This window comes from Homo sapiens, chromosome 2, assembly GCF_000001405.40.
Source record: "Homo sapiens chromosome 2, GRCh38.p14 Primary Assembly".
Lineage (NCBI taxonomy): Eukaryota > Metazoa > Chordata > Mammalia > Primates > Hominidae > Homo > Homo sapiens.
In genome coordinates, this window is record NC_000002.12 from 87,301,251 (window position 1) to 87,316,704 (window position 15,454).

Genomic DNA, 15,454 nt, shown 5'->3' on the forward strand with positions numbered 1-15,454 from the left:
TAATTTCATTTTTATAAGAGTTTCCAAAGCAATTACCATCACCACCAAAGAATCAGGGTAGATTACTGGGTCTCGACAAGTGTGTGTGTGTGTGCGCACACGTGCGTGCGCATGCATGTGTGTGTCTTGGGGAAGAGATAAGGCCTGAATAAGGAGGGACAGCTGTCCTGTGGAGATCTGGAGAAGATTATTGTAGTAGAGGAATGGCAAGTTCAAAGGCCTGGAAGTGGTAGCAGAGTCATTGTGTTTCAGGGGCAGAAAGGAGGCCAGCGTGCCTGGGTGCCAAGGGAAGGAGGTGAGGGTGAGGAGGCGGACAGGCATCTCAAGTGCATGGAGAGCCACCTCTTCTTGGGTCCCCAGTCCAGGGCACTTTCTTTGGACCCAGGATGTAGGTACTGACAGCTGCCATGAATCTCGGAGTTGTCAGCATTCACAGCAAAGGGCATTTCCAGGCTAAAATCTAAGTAAACAAGCTCCAGAACAAAGAAGACACCATGTTCAAAGTGTGTGAAAATGGATAACAAATAGGAAACATTTAAAAACAAGCACTTTGTGGAAAACCATGTTTCCTTGATGTGCTTTCTGTCATGGTATCTGAAACACTGCAAAAGGACATTGAAGATCTGGGAGGGAGAGTTGACAATCTTCCCAAATAAGATACAGTTATCTTATTTCAAATAAAAAGGAAGCAAAATTGGCACAAGTTTGGGTCAAATTTCTCCTGTGCCAAGTCTAGAATCAGCAGGTAGTGCTGAAATCACTGTCCCACATCCCAGACATAGTGAGCATTCTTTTAAGGCTCCAGGCTCAAGTGTGTGCAAACAGAGGGAAATTACACTTGAAAAAAAAGATCAAGGACCGTGAATTAGATACAACCTTGGACAACAAAAGCAGCAACCATGAAAGGTTGTATGTACTTAAGAAGTCAAACACTTCTGGGAAAGCTGTGGGGAAGAGAGTTGGTATATGGGAAAAAAGTGGTAAACTCAAAACGCCTTTTGTATGGAGAAAGGCATTGGCCAGCTTTAAAGGCACTGCAGCATCAGTTGAGCAAGTGCTTTTAATAAATTACTCTCTTTTGTAGCTCTGTACTTTTTCTGATATGGATAAGCTATCTAGCATCCAAAGCAAACTCATCTTAAACCAAGAATTCAAACAAATGATAATAAAGATGGTAGAATGCCTATTCCACTCCATTTGAAAGAGATGCACAAAAGAAAATGGTAGGTGTTGCTTGCAGGAGTGTGATAATAGTGTTGCTCTTCTAAACTGGCAACTTTATGAGTAGATCATCAAAGCCAAGGTATTTTACTTTGTGGAATAAGAAACGATCACACCGAAAATAATAAAATTCAGCACTGCAGGTTTTCTGCCCTTTATAAATGTTTTTCAAAGACGGAACCGAAAGAATAGCTTGAGTGATAACAAGCTTTTCAGAAGGAGCTCTGGAAATTAATATGGGACAGGTGATGGAGCAAGACTTTCAGCATGAAGAAGCCCAGGAACTGGGAAAACACAAGTCTTTACTTCAGAATCACCCCATAGCCTCCAAGTAGTGTGTTGCAGGTTGAATCTAGCTGAAAATGGCATAAAACAGAATATTAATAGCTATATCCACATATCACTAAACTAGGTACATTCTTGATGTTCCTGAATATAAGGAGATTATAAATTAAAATGATTCTGAAAAACTACAGACATTGATGCAAGTTTCTAGTTTCAACCAGGATAATATCACATCTCACCTCAAACAAAAGGCATTTTCTTCAGAAAGGAACTAAAAAAAAATGGCCTTTATTCTATACTTGCTTATGGTTCTGGTTTAAAAACAAAAACAGGTTCCAGAAGACTACTTATTCAAAGACCCTGCCCCACATTCCTCTTGAGGATCCCAGTGAATGTGGCACTGATAATATGAATGGTTTACCTTCCGTGAGATTGCATTGAGGGGGGAAATATTCTTAGAAATAAAATTTTTAAAAAGAAAATATGATGTAAATTGACCAAGGGGTTTAAAAAATCTGTCAATCTCATATCCTATACCTAGCAAAAATATCCTTCAGAAATGAATGGAAAATTAAGACATTCTCAGATAGAAGAAAAATAAGAAATTTGTCACCAGCATTAAAGAATGACTAAAGGGATGTCTCTAAACAGAAAGTGAATAATAACAAAGGGAGGCTGGAACTTCAGGAAGGAAACAAAACAATGCAATGGTTAAAAATTCTCCTCAAGTGTTTAAAAAATTGTGTTGAAGCAAAAAAATATAACATCATCTGGTGAGATGTTCAGTGTCTGTAGTGGAAATATTTATTTAACATATTTGTATTTTAAGGGGGAGGGTAAACAGACCTAAATAAAAGTCAGATTTCTATACTTCACTTGAAGAGGTAAAATGCTGATACAGTTAGCTATGACATATTATGTATATATATTGTAATATCTAGGGAAATTAGTAAAAAACTATATGATGAAGAGATATATTAAAAATGTACTATAGATATGAATATATGTGTGGGTTAGTATACATACATAGTTTTCCTTACTCTGTCACCTGAGAGAACAAAGAAGCAATGACAACCCTCTAGCAATTAGCACACCGGACACACAGATCTTGGTTTCTAACACCATTCACCAATAAAACAAATCAGGGCTCCTTGGAGAAATGGCTGATTCCAGGCCTTGGGGGAAAAATATATGAGATGAACCTGGAGCATTTTGTAGCACCAGAATGTAAGGAAATGTGTGTGTGTGTGTGTGTGTGTGTGTGTGTGTGTGTGTGAAGAGACACAGGAGCCAACCAAAAGAGCTCTCAATGGCCAAACTTGGAATAATTGGAGCAAGAAAATAATAAAGTAGTAATGTATTATCACCCAAAATAAATATCCATGAGTCCATAGTGATATAAGTAAATACTTGAATAAATAAATGGGGGGAAAAAAGACAACTCTCTCTTATGAAGAACTGGAAATAGTTAATACAGATACTACAACCTGAAGGAGGAGAAGTGTAAGTTCCTGGTCCTTAGGTATGGGCCTACATAGTGATTTTCTTCCAAAGAGTGTAGAATAGATAGGGGGTGGGGGAAAGTAGATTTACACTGGAGACACCTGCCAAGCACTACTTCAGCCAGGTGATCATGGTCAACACCTGCTGTGATAAATCGTGGTGTGAGTATGTACCCTGGATATGATGTGATGAAAATGACACTTCACTGCTTTACCCATTACCCTTGTCGAATCATGAAAAAAGCCTCAGGTGAATTTCAATAAGGGGGTATCATAGAATACATTGAATATAGGATAATACCTAACCAGGACTCTTCAAAATTGTCAAGGTCCTAAAAATCAGGAAAAGTTTGAGAAACTGTCACAACCAAGAGGAGCCTGAGGAGATGTGATGACTAAACACAGTAAGTATCCTGGATGGGACCCTGGACCATAGGAAGATGTTAGGTAAAACTAAGGAAATCTAAATAAGATATAGACTTTGGTTAATAATAATGTATCAATATTGGCTCATTAATTGAAACAGTCGTGCTAATTAATATAAGATGTTAATAAGATGGGACACTGAGTGAGGATGTATATGGGAACTTTCTGTTCTACCATCTCATTTTTTTTAAACTTATAAAAAATAAAGTCTATTAAAACATTATAGCACTTTGGGAGGCTGAGGTGGGTGGATCATCTGAGGTCAAGAGTTTGAGATCAGCCTAGCCAACATGGCGAAATGCTGTCTCTACTAAAAAAACAAAAATTAGCTGGGCATGGTGGCAAGTGCCTATAATCACAGCTACTCGGGAGGCTGAGGCAGGAGAATCACTTGAATTTGGCGGGATGGAGGTTGCAGTGAGGTGAGATCATGCCACTTCACTCCGGCATGGGGGAAAGAGCGAAACTCCGTTAAAAAAAAATCATGAGTTTAAACATAAAACATAAAAATATATAATGTTTAGAAAGAATTCACAGGAGAAAATCTTTGGGACCTAAGGCTAGACAGAATTCTTAGACATGGCACCAGCAGCACTATCCATAAAGAGAGAAGAAAAAGTCAATATACTATACTTCGTTGTAATTAAAAACTTTTGTGGTGTAAAAGACTCGGTGAAGAGGATGAAAAGACAAACTGCAGACTGGGAGAAATTATTTTCAAATCCATATCTTTTTTTTGTTTTTTTGAGATGGAGTCTTGCTCTGTTGCCAGGCTGGAGTGCATTGGCGCGATCTCAGCTCACTGCAACCTCCAGCTCCCGGGTTCAAGCGATTCTCCTGCCTTAGCCTCCAGAGTAGCTGGGACTCCAGGCCCAGCTAATTTTTGTATTTTTAGTAGAGACAGGGTTTTACCATGTTGGCCAGGATGGTCTCGATCTCTTGACCTCGTGATCCACCTGCCTCGGCCTCCCAAAGTACTGGGATTCCAGGCGTAAGCCACCGTGCCCGGCCTCAAATCCATGTCTTACAAAGACCTTATATCTACAATACACAAAAATGTATCAAATTCAACAGTAAAAAGACAAGAAGAAAAATGAAGAATCCCATCAGAAAATGAGGGGAAAATATGCCCATGAATTTCACCAAAAAGACTATACAGATGGTAAAGAAGTGCAGGAAAGGATGTTCGATATCACTAGCCTTTAGGGAAATGCACATTAAAACCACCGTGAGATATTACTACACACCTATCAGAGTTGCTAAAATTGAAAACAAATTATAACACAAAATGCTGGCAAGTATGTGGAGAAACTGGATCACACCTACATTGCTGGGTAGAACAAAAAATATTATAGTCATTCAGATAACAGTTTGGCAGTTTCTTTAAAAACTAAATATGAAATTGCTGTTTGACCTGGAAATTGCATTCCTGTGCATTTATTGCGGAGAAATGAAAATGTATGTTCACACAAAAACCTGTACAAGAATGTTTATAGCAGCTCTATTCATAATAGCTAAAAACTGAAAAGATGCAAGATGTCCTTTAGTGGGTTAAACCATCCACATCATGGAATACTACTCAGCAATAAAAAGGAACCAACTATTGATACACACAAAACCCTGGTTAATCTTGAGAATTACATTAAGTGAAAAAAAGCCAGTCCTCAAAAGTTACATACTATGTTACTCTATTTATACAACATTTTAAAAAGGACAAAGTTACAGGAATGAAGAACAGATTAGTGGTTGGTGGGACAGCAGTGAAGTGGGGTGGTTGCAAAAGGGCCACATGAGGGATGCTTGTGGGGATGGAATTGTTTCATAGCTTGACTTTCTTTTTGTTTGTTTGTTTGTTTTTTTTAGACGGACGGAGTCTTGCTCTGTCACCCAGGCTGGAGTGCAGTAGTGCAATCTCAGCTCACTGCAACCTCCACCTCCCAGGTTCAAGTGATTCTCCTGCCTTAGGCCTCCCGAGTAGCTGGGATTACAGGTGCCACTACCACGCCTGGCTAATTTGTTGTATTTTTAGTAGAGACGGAGTTTTACCATGTTGGCCAGGCTGGTCTCAAACTCCTGACCTCCGTTGATCCACCTGCCTCAGCCTCCCAAAGTGCAAGGATTACAGGCCTGAGCCACTGCACCTGGCCAATAGCTTGTCTTTCAATAATAGTGTTCTTGCTGTGATATCATACTACAGTTTTGTAAGATATTACCAGTAGGGGAAATTTGGTTAAGAGCATGTGATGTTTCTATTATTTCTTACAACTGCTTATGAATCTACAGTTACCTCAAATTAAGTGTAATTTAAAAAATACTGGAAAACAACAACCCCCTTACCCCATGCAGATATTTTCATCTATTTTGGTTGTATTTATTTGGTATTGACTTCCACAATGTATATAGTATGTTTTGATTGCTAATCTATGATTTATTAATTGAAGACGATTTTAGATAGATCTGTATCTTTATGGTAGAGTTTATTTATTGTAGCTGCATTTTAATTTAAAACTTAATTACTGTTGCTTTGTTTCCTTCTGGTTTCTGCATGATTTCCACTGCGTCTCTTGTGTTCTGTTTGTTTGTTTTGGAGTTTCTCACATTGAGAGATTTTTCTCATTGTTGGGTAACCATGACTCTATCTTCCTGTTTAAGAATTAGGGGCTGGGCACCATCGCTCAGGCCTGTAATCCCAGCACTTTGGGAGGCTGAGGCAGGCAGATCATCTGAGGTCAGGAGTTTGCGCCAGCCTGGAGGGTTGGAGAAACTGGCTGTTGCATTAGTCCGTTCTCACACTGCTATAAAGAATTAACTGAGACTGGGTAATTTATGCAGAAAAGAGGTTTAATTGACTCAGAGTTCTGGAGGCTGTACAGGAAGCATGGCTGGTAGGCCTCAGGAAGCTTACACTCATGGCAGAAGGGCAAAGGGAAAGCAAGCACATCTTCACGTGGTGGCAGGAGACAGTGAAAGAAGAAGCACTACACACTTTTAAACAACCAGATCTCGTGAGGACTCACTCACTATCATGAGAACAGCAAGGGAGAATTCTGCCCCCATGATCCAGTCACCTCCCACCAGGTCCCTCCCTCAGTGTTGGGGATTGCAATTCAACATGAGATTTGGGTGGGGACACACAGCCAAACCATAGCAGCTGTTACCTCATGCTCCTAATTTTGTGGAAGATCAGATAACAACTTAGTTTCAGTTTGGTGGAATTGTAGCATAGATAACTCTGTTTTGATTTTTAGTCTGGTTGTTGGGGCGTAGTGAGGGGGCTTAGTGGGGGCCCTGTGTGTTTTATCTGGTGACCCTCCAGTTTCTCAGCGCCATGCATTTGCTTGTCCTGGCCTCTGCAGTCACCTTTGCTGGCTGTGGCATTGTGAGGGTGTGAAGGCTGCAGATTCTTAGAGGGGGCCTATTCCAGGCTCTCCTGTGTTCATGACTGTCACATCCCATCTTGGGCGAGGCCAGGCTAGAGTCCACAGGCTCCACTCAGGCTCTCTTTCCCAGACCCCGACACCTCTGTCAGCCTCGTTGTAGGTCCTCTTTTGATTGCTATTGCCTTGGACCTGGACAGTTTATAAACCAAGCTTGCCAAGAGGCAAGAGTGAAGAGGTCTGTTAAATAGGGAAAGAGCTTGGAGTCTCCTGGGCCATGTGCTCAGTACACAAGTTCTTACAGGTGGGTAGTCCTGTTTGGGATAGTTCAGACACACCAGAGTAGGGAGTGAGGGTCCCATGCTGGCCACCTTTCTTCTTCACCTCCCTCTTCTCATGCCTCCCTGCCACCACCCAACATTTTCAGCCTTGAGAAATTCCAAGTAAGCCCCTTGCTCAGGGCTGGGAATCCAGTTGGCAGTTCGGGAGGCGGTGGGGTCAGAGTTACCGCTTCTTTCCGGGCCTTTCCAGAGGTTCTGCTGCTCCCCCAATACGCCTTCCATTGTGCTCCAGTGCGTCCCTCCAGCACATTCCCACAGTTAGATTCTTCTGGGGACTGTTGTAGGCACATCCCTGAAATTCCCGAGGGATCTCCCCCTGGCTAGTGTACTTCCTTTTCTCAAGGTATGTGGGAACAGGAGCTGTCTGCCGGGATTAGCAGCCCACATGATTTCCCAGTCTCAGGACCTGTTTCCTGTTGGGAGCCCCTGAGCTCTGAGACATGTGGTTGCCAAGTGCTTGCAGCGCTGGGTGTGGTGGAGCCCCAGGCTGACTCTCCTAGGTGGCAGACTCTTGGGGGCGAGCTCTCCCCAGGGCGGGGACAGGCTGGGGGTGGCGGGCTCTTGGGGGTGGGCAGGATCTCCTTGGGTGAGGGGTGTCTCTGGGGGTTTGGCTCTGGGGAAGGGGTTCTGAGGAGGGGGCAGATTCTCCTGGGGAGGTGGGCTCTGGGGGTGGGGAGCAGGTTTTCCTGGGTGGGCCTCTCCTGGGACCAACTCTCCCTGGCCGCAGTCTCTCTTGGCCACGATTCTTTCCTCCACAGCAACATCCATGTGCAGAGGTGCTAGAGCTGCCAGTACTAGCTTACCAGCGCTGGCTACAAGATCTTCAGGAACTTTTTGGCCTGGTTGTTAACCAGAGCAACTATTAAAAATTATAGAACCTCAGGTAAGCAAATTAAATCGCAAACAAAAGTAATGGATACACAAAACTTATACTACCTTTTTTATGACATTTTACCATTTCCTGTGCCCTTGAGGCTCTTTACGTTATGGTACCTGTGTGGTGGAAATACTGTACTGGGCGACGGGGCAGCTGTGCTTCTCTCCCCAGTTCCTGCTTGTGTGGGAGTATTTCACCATGGAAATCAGCAAATCATGCTTAGTTATTTGGACAGCTGGTTATTAAACATTTACCAGCACACACCATTACCTGAGTTCTATCAGCTTATTAAATTAAAAAATAAATGGAGCCCTTTAATCACATTGTTCTTATTTTATTTTATTTTTTATTATTTTTTAGAGGTAGGCTCTTGCTGTGTTGCCCCGGCTGGAATGCAGTGGTACAATCATAGCTCACCATAGCCTGGAACTACTGGGCTCAAGTGATCCTCTTGTCTTAGCCTTCTAAGTAGAAAGGACCACTGGTGCTTGCACCATGTCTGACTAACTTTTTTTAAAAAATGCTTTTTTGTAGAGATGGGTCCTTGCTTTATTGCCTAGGCTGGTCTTGAACTCCTGGCAAGAGATGCAAGTGACCCTTGCGTCTCAGCCTCCCAAAGTGCTGGGATATAAGCATGAGTCATCGTGCCTGGCCTAATCACATTGTTCAAGCATTGTGCAAATCAATGGAAGCCTAGCTCACAACACTTCTGGTTTAAATGCAGGCACACTTCCCCTCTGCCTGGCCCTGACTCCTGCTGCCCTCTCCTACTCAGTTCTCTGGCAGCTCATCCCCCTCACCCACTCTACTCCATTCCCTGCCTGCTTTCCAGTCTCTCGACCTGGACAGGTTTTCTGTCCCTTTCCCCATTGTTTCTTTGAAGTATTTATTATGTACCTTCCTTTATCCTCTCAGCTAAAGGGTTTCCCTTTTCTTGCCAAGGTTTGTGATCCATCTCTCTCTTCTCATTCTCCTGATTCTGAATTTATCATAACATTTCCTGGGCACAATTTAAATATGCTTATTTGACCTTCCCAGGCTGTGCTAACAGCACCACCACCACTGCTGCTGCCGAAAAGAGTTAGTGATATTTATCTACACCTGTACCTGTGCCACCTGTGTCCCATGCCAGAGACCCCGGAGCACTCCATGGGCAGGTCCCATTTAATGCTGATACCTCCATGAGAAATGAGTGTTTGGTTGAATTTAAGTACTGTAAGGGAACTTTTTAGACTGCCCTAGGTGGTATGTGAAACCTGAGGGCTTTGTGGTTGTGCCAAGGGGCTTCTGAGTAGAGAAGAAGAAGGGATACCAGAGAAGATGAGACTCACCCACAGCCCTTCTAACCCCAGACCTAGCAGAGCATTTCACTGTCCAGAAATAGGAGTTGAAACTGTGGCCTTCAGAGCAATGTTTTAACCTGGCTTTAGTATTCTTACTAGCTGAGTGACCTTGGGCACTCTGTGCCTCAATTTCCTCATCTGAAAAATGGGGATAATACTATTACCTTATAAGGTTTTTTGTGAGGTTTAAATGAGTTAATGCACATAAAGCTCTTCAAAAAGTGTTCAACTAATAAATATTAGCCATTGTCATTACTGAGGCTATGTGCAAAATTGTACTTAATAAAATAATGCTTCTGGTAAGAGGTTGAAGACCACATATGTAGCTCTATGGCCTTTATTTTATAGTTGAGAAAACTGAAGCTCAGAGCTAAGAACTGGACACAGCCAGTGAGCAGCAGAGTCAGGACTAAATCCCTTTCTGCTCTGAATTTTTCAACAAATGGTATTAATCCTCTTCTTTGACCTGGAAGGGGCATGACACCTACAACATTTGATACCCATGGCATTTGACACCCACACCACTCAACACCCTTGTGCCTTTATTTTGATTAAAGGTGTGCCTTTAAAGTGATGAGAATAGTGTCCAAATAAATATGACAGAACCCTTCTATCCATTTTCTCTGGGAAGAAATGAATATTAATATCTCTGGTAAGATTTGAATATTAAACAAAGAGAAAGAACTAGCCCCTTTAGTGGATATAGCATGATCTGGGGAACAAAGAGACAGCCCAGATGGGAGCATGTTATTGGAGAGGGATAAGGAGCGTGCAAGGTAAGGTGTCGGTGAACAAAAGTTCTCTGTAAAAGAATTGGAAGGGAAGAGACTTTATTCCACTAAGCAGTTTGCAAAATGGGGAGATGTGACCTGTGGTCTAAAATGAAGGTTCCTTCCAGGGAGCAAAAGGAGGTTTCAGTTTTGACAGCAAAAGTTCCTGTCCGGGTTCCCACTCAAGTCCATTTATGCAAATGAAGGATTCAAACTTGCTTAGTTCTAATTACTTGATGAAGCTAAGTTCTGATTGGTTGGTTCAGGTGAGTTCTGAAAGTCCCAAAGTTGAACAGAGGTATGGGTTTTCTGTTGACACAGAGTACATCTGTGATGTCTAGTCAATAAATGACCACTAGGCTCAATGTTAAATTTAGGCCCAGTTAGCCACTAGGGATCCATCTTGAAGGACTGGCTCTTTCGGTTTCATATTCATTCCCATGACCGAGGCAGGACCCATCCTGCAGCTTTTGCCCAGCGGGTAGGAGACCAGGCTTGGGAGGCCATTAAGTCAACTTCAGACACTGTTTTACTGCCCAGGGTGGAGGAAGATCTCTAAACTAAATGCCTACAGCATCCACAGCTGAATCTGGCTGGCATGTAAAGAACCAGCAGTAAGCGATGTGCCTGGTGTGCTGGGGTACACGAACGGAGGCGAGCCGGGCCCTGTAGTGATAGTCAGTTTCACTGGGACTACCCTACTCCAGACAGGAAGTCCTCATTGCTGACAGCACTTAGGAGCAGTGCCTCTCCACCAGAAGTGTATTCTCAGCAGGGGTGGATCTGAGAGCAGAATACCTAGTGGAGAAGAGGGGTTTCCACTTGTGGGGTAGAGCTCTTTCAAGCACCCGGGCCACATTCAGAGAAGTTCCCCTGCACTGGGCTAAATGAGTCAGGTGGCCTCACTTCTCTCAGACACATCTGGCAACCTGGGCAGCTTTTGGGGTGACACTGCAGGACCACAGGAGGGACTCCTTCTCTCTGGCATTCTGAGAGGTGAAGGGCTTCACATTCCAGTGATGGAAATCTTGGCAACACTAGAGAAAGGAGTGCAGCTCCTACCTAACCAGTGAGAGAATATTATACATGATTTTGTATAATCTGATTTGAAACTTGAAATAATGCAACATTTTCTTAGTTGAAAAACAACAAAAAATACATAATTTCAAAGCTGTTCTTGGGGGCGAGGTGCGGAGCGTGAACTGTCTCCCACTTCAGGGGGTAAGCAGGTAGACAGGAATGTCACCATCCATTGTCTCGTGGGTGTGAATCACTGCTTCTAGACTCCTGTGCTTTTGATAATTATTGCAAAGTCATTTCAACTTTTGCTGTGTTATGATCTTTAAAACAAATAGTGTATTCTACTGCAGGATAGGTTAATTGTCATTAAGAGGTGATTCCAGTGGTATTGTTAAAAAAAGTACACCCACAATCAGTAAATTTAGAAAGAAAGTTAGGTGAGATAAAATATCATGAAGATTTAAAAACACCAGGAAATAAATACCAGTCTGCTAATTTTATGACAAGCATCCCAAGAAATATTGGAGATGATGCTGAGAAAATAAAAATAGCATTAAAGATCCTCAAACAGCCCCTGTTCCTCTGACTTTGCAGCATTTGGAGGGGAAAGCACTCTTACATTATGAGGGCCTCTGGAGCCCCACCTAAATCCTTAAGTGAAAACTCCCAGGGAGCATCATTTTCTGACAGTTGCAGCTGGATTAGCACCACGTGGGCCAGTAGCCTCAGAGAAGGGAGTGTGCAATATCAGCTTCCTCCAGAGAGATGCCGATGGGTCCATTCTGGGCCCCCGTTTCCATACCTGTAGCCTCTTAGGGGACACAGAATGACTGGGAGGTGCTGCCTATTCACCTGTGGAATGTGGGCACTTCTGGGGTCTGACTTTCTCCTATATAGCTCTGTAGCTTTTGAATACCTATAATAATTATGTACTTGTATTAATTTTTAAAAATCTATTAAAAAGAAAAAAAATAAAGGAAGAGGGGCTGAGCTCTGCTGTGGAAATCAGATCTATTTAGAAAGCAAGAAGGTCTGTGGACAATCCAATACAAGGTGGCCCAGCCTCCATACCACCTCCAGCTGTCCCCAGGCTGCTTTGCAGTAACAACCTATGGGCAAATGGCAGCGTGCGCCTCCGTCTTTCTGCCCTATATGCCTGAAGTCACAGCGGTCCTTCAGGAGTGTTATGACTCATTCCCATGGGGAGGTGGGGGCGTGCTAGGTGTCTTAGTCCATTGTGTTTGCTCTCATAAAATACCATAGACTGGGGGGCTTTAACAATAGGCATTTATTTCTTACAGTTCTGGAGGCTGGAAGTCCAAGATCAAGGTGCAGCAGATCTGGTGTCTGGTGAGGGCTCCCTTTCTGGTTTGCAGATGGCCGCCTTCTCTCTGTTTCCACACATGGTGGAGACAGGGAGAGCTCTGATCCCTTCCTTTTCTTATAAGGGCACTAATCCATCATGAGAACCCCACCCCCATGACCTCATTTAAACCTAATGATCTCCAAAGGTAATTACATAGGGGGTTAGAGCTTCAACATGCAAATTTGGCAGGGACAGGGGGTGGGGAACATGAACATCCAGTCCATTACCATAGAGATATTCAAATGGGGGTAAATGCTTCTGTGGAAAATCCCCCCGTGGGAGGCTGCTCTGGGCTGTGTGTCCACCCCAACTTGGTGCTCCCACGAGACTGTGGGAAAGGGTGGCAGTCCTCTATCCCCAGTATGGCCTTCAGCATGTGCAGTCCCTGGCCTGGCTACCTGCAGAAGCCCACAGGAAAGGGGCAGCCAGGGGTTGAAGGAGAAAAGAGGAGAGAGGGGTGGGGATGAGACACTCCATTCTGAGGAGAGGTCCCCAGGAAGAGGCTACGCAGATTCTTTGGAACTGGAATTGCCTGAGAAGGCTTAGGACAGCGCTGCTCATTAGACCACTGCCTGGGAAATGGCCATCAGCTGAGAATGTGGGACCTTAGTGTCCCTGTGTCTGGGGGAGTCCAAGAGAGAGAGATGGATACTGAAGATTTTGCAAAGTGGCATGGCTGGGTGAGTGGGCCCTCCACCAGGAGACACTGACTACAGGTGCTTGCTGGGCATAACCGAAGGAGGGCCCGGCAGAATCCAGACCCTCCCCATTGCCGTGAGAGGCTCAGGGGGCTAGCTTATGAGGAAGAGAACTAAAAACTAGGGGACACATTCTGAGGATACAAAATGCACAATGAGCCCTCATTTAGATGAGGGGTAGGGTCTTAACCAAACTCCAGCATTACACCCCAGCCTTTCCTTGTGGTTCTATGTTGTCATGCACCATGTGCTTAGCTACAGCTCTCCTGGGTGCTGCCTTCCAGAGATGGGACCACCTCAGTGACAGTGAAGAGATTAAGTGTGCAAGCTGGGGACAGCGGGCAAGTGATTAACATTTCCTGACTCTGACTCGTCCTTTGGAGGGTGATGCTACATACAGCCCATCATACGCACTATCATGGCCCAATCTCTCTGAAAGTGAAATCACTTCTCCCCACTGAGCTGCATCTGGAATTTTAGCAGCTTGGAGCAATGCAAAATAATGGTGCTTAAACTCAGACCAGCCTCCTCAATTTTGAGCTGGGCAATCCATTACACATACATTTTAGGCAGAATGGGATCCTGGTAAATTTGCTGTCTGTGTATGTGGCCCACAAATTTCCATTCATTGAACAGTTGTCATTTTTAAGAGCTGCAGGGCAAAAAGGTTATTTGTTGACTTTTTGTTTTTTGCAAATGATATTACCTTGCAAAAGAGCTTACCCTGAAACTGAAAAGAATGATTCTGTGTTACCATATGCTTTTATAGGCTTAGCTCTTGTCTGTGGGAAGTTTGCAAGCATTCCCTCCTCTGCTCCCCATTCATTTATAAAGAAACCTCCCACATGGTGCTATTAAAATAAAAACTTACTCATATGCTTAGTCAATGCCGAGCAGAATTTCTTTCATAGGTTCCGTATGAATGAGTTCTGAAGTAACAGGTTTAGAAAATGAAACTGCTCAAAAAGAATATGAAAATGACTTGAAAAGGTGCCAGAAAATACTTTGACTGTGTGTGCATGTGTGTGCACGGGGGTGGGGGAAATATCAGATCATGGGAAGGTTCCAAGACCTTCAGGTTATAATGGCATGTGAACAACCTCAGGAGTTGGTGTGGGAATAAACGATTCAGGCTTAAAATGAGAAACTCCTGTTATGGACACCACGGGATGTTCTAGTCAACAGATCTAAACACGTGGCCCCATGACTACCTGTTTATGTGGGTGTAATCAATGCCCAGCTCTGCTATTCACCAGCTGTGTGGCCTGGGGCAAGTTGCTCCACCAACCTGATCCTCAGTTCCCTTGCCTGTAACATGCTGATAATAACAGCATTTATTCCATAGGACATAGGATCCCCACAACCCCAATTCCTTGGAGCTCAAAAATTAGATGAATCTTGATCCTTGTTCACAGTACTTTCCACCACGGATCCATCCATGACTTTGTCATTTATTTAGTTATGTAACTAGTTATTTCCAATATTGTAATGAGCACCCATGAATCTACCACCAAACAAAAGCTAAGTCTAGGACAATAACCTACATCTTATCAGCTAGTCCCCAGTATCTTATTAACCTCTTCTCCCCACTTCTAAGGTCTACACCATCATGAATCTTGTGTTCCTGATACCCCTGCTTCCCATTTTATTTGGTTTTATGCTTCCATATGTATTTCTAGAAAGTAGGTATATTTTTATCTTAATTGTTTTTTAACTTTATAAAACTTTTAGGGACTTACTTTTTTCCATTTAATGTTATATTGCTAAGAGTCATTCACAGTATTGTGTGTCATTGTAATTTCTTTGTTCTGACTGCTGCATAGTAGTGTATACAAATAAACCATAGTGTAATCATCCATACTCCCATTGAGGGGTACTTGGGAAAGGAGAGGGTCCAGACTTTTGCTAGTTAGAACAGGGCTGTTATAGTCCTACTGGTACATGTCAGCCTTTGTACAAGTATAAGAGTTTCTCTTGGGTATGGACCTTCAAGGAGAATCATGTCAGAGAACATGTGAAAGTTCAACTTTAGGAGACAATGCCAAAACATTCTCTAAAGACTCTGTGCTAATCTACAATGCCACAGGCTTCATCCTCTCCAGCACTTAATTGTGTTAGGCTTTTTACTTTTTGCTAATTGAATGAGTATAACATGTTATTTCATTGTGATTTTAATTTTCACTTTTTTTCTTTAACAAATTTTTTTATTTTTAGTTTTTGTGGGTACA

At 43.1% G+C, this 15,454-nt stretch overlaps 1 long non-coding RNA gene and 1 pseudogene across 1 annotated transcript in view, besides 1 other annotated feature; both read left to right on the top strand.

Annotated features, from left to right (window-relative positions):
* Positions 1–15,454, top strand: part of LOC107985908 (uncharacterized) — a 66,991-nt gene that overhangs the window by 45,860 nt on the left and 5,677 nt on the right. The gene's annotated exons all lie outside the window — the stretch shown is intronic.
* Positions 408–1,024, top strand: DBF4P3 (DBF4 pseudogene 3; annotated as a pseudogene).
* Positions 12,258–12,434: a silencer, noted in NCBI's record as "fragment chr2:87540631-87540807 (GRCh37/hg19 assembly coordinates)". NCBI's record gives its function as "represses an EF-1alpha promoter that drives an FKBP-Casp9 reporter gene in an ReSE screen in K562 erythroleukemia cells {active_cell/tissue: K562}" and the evidence as "EXISTENCE:reporter gene assay evidence [ECO:0000049][PMID:32094911]".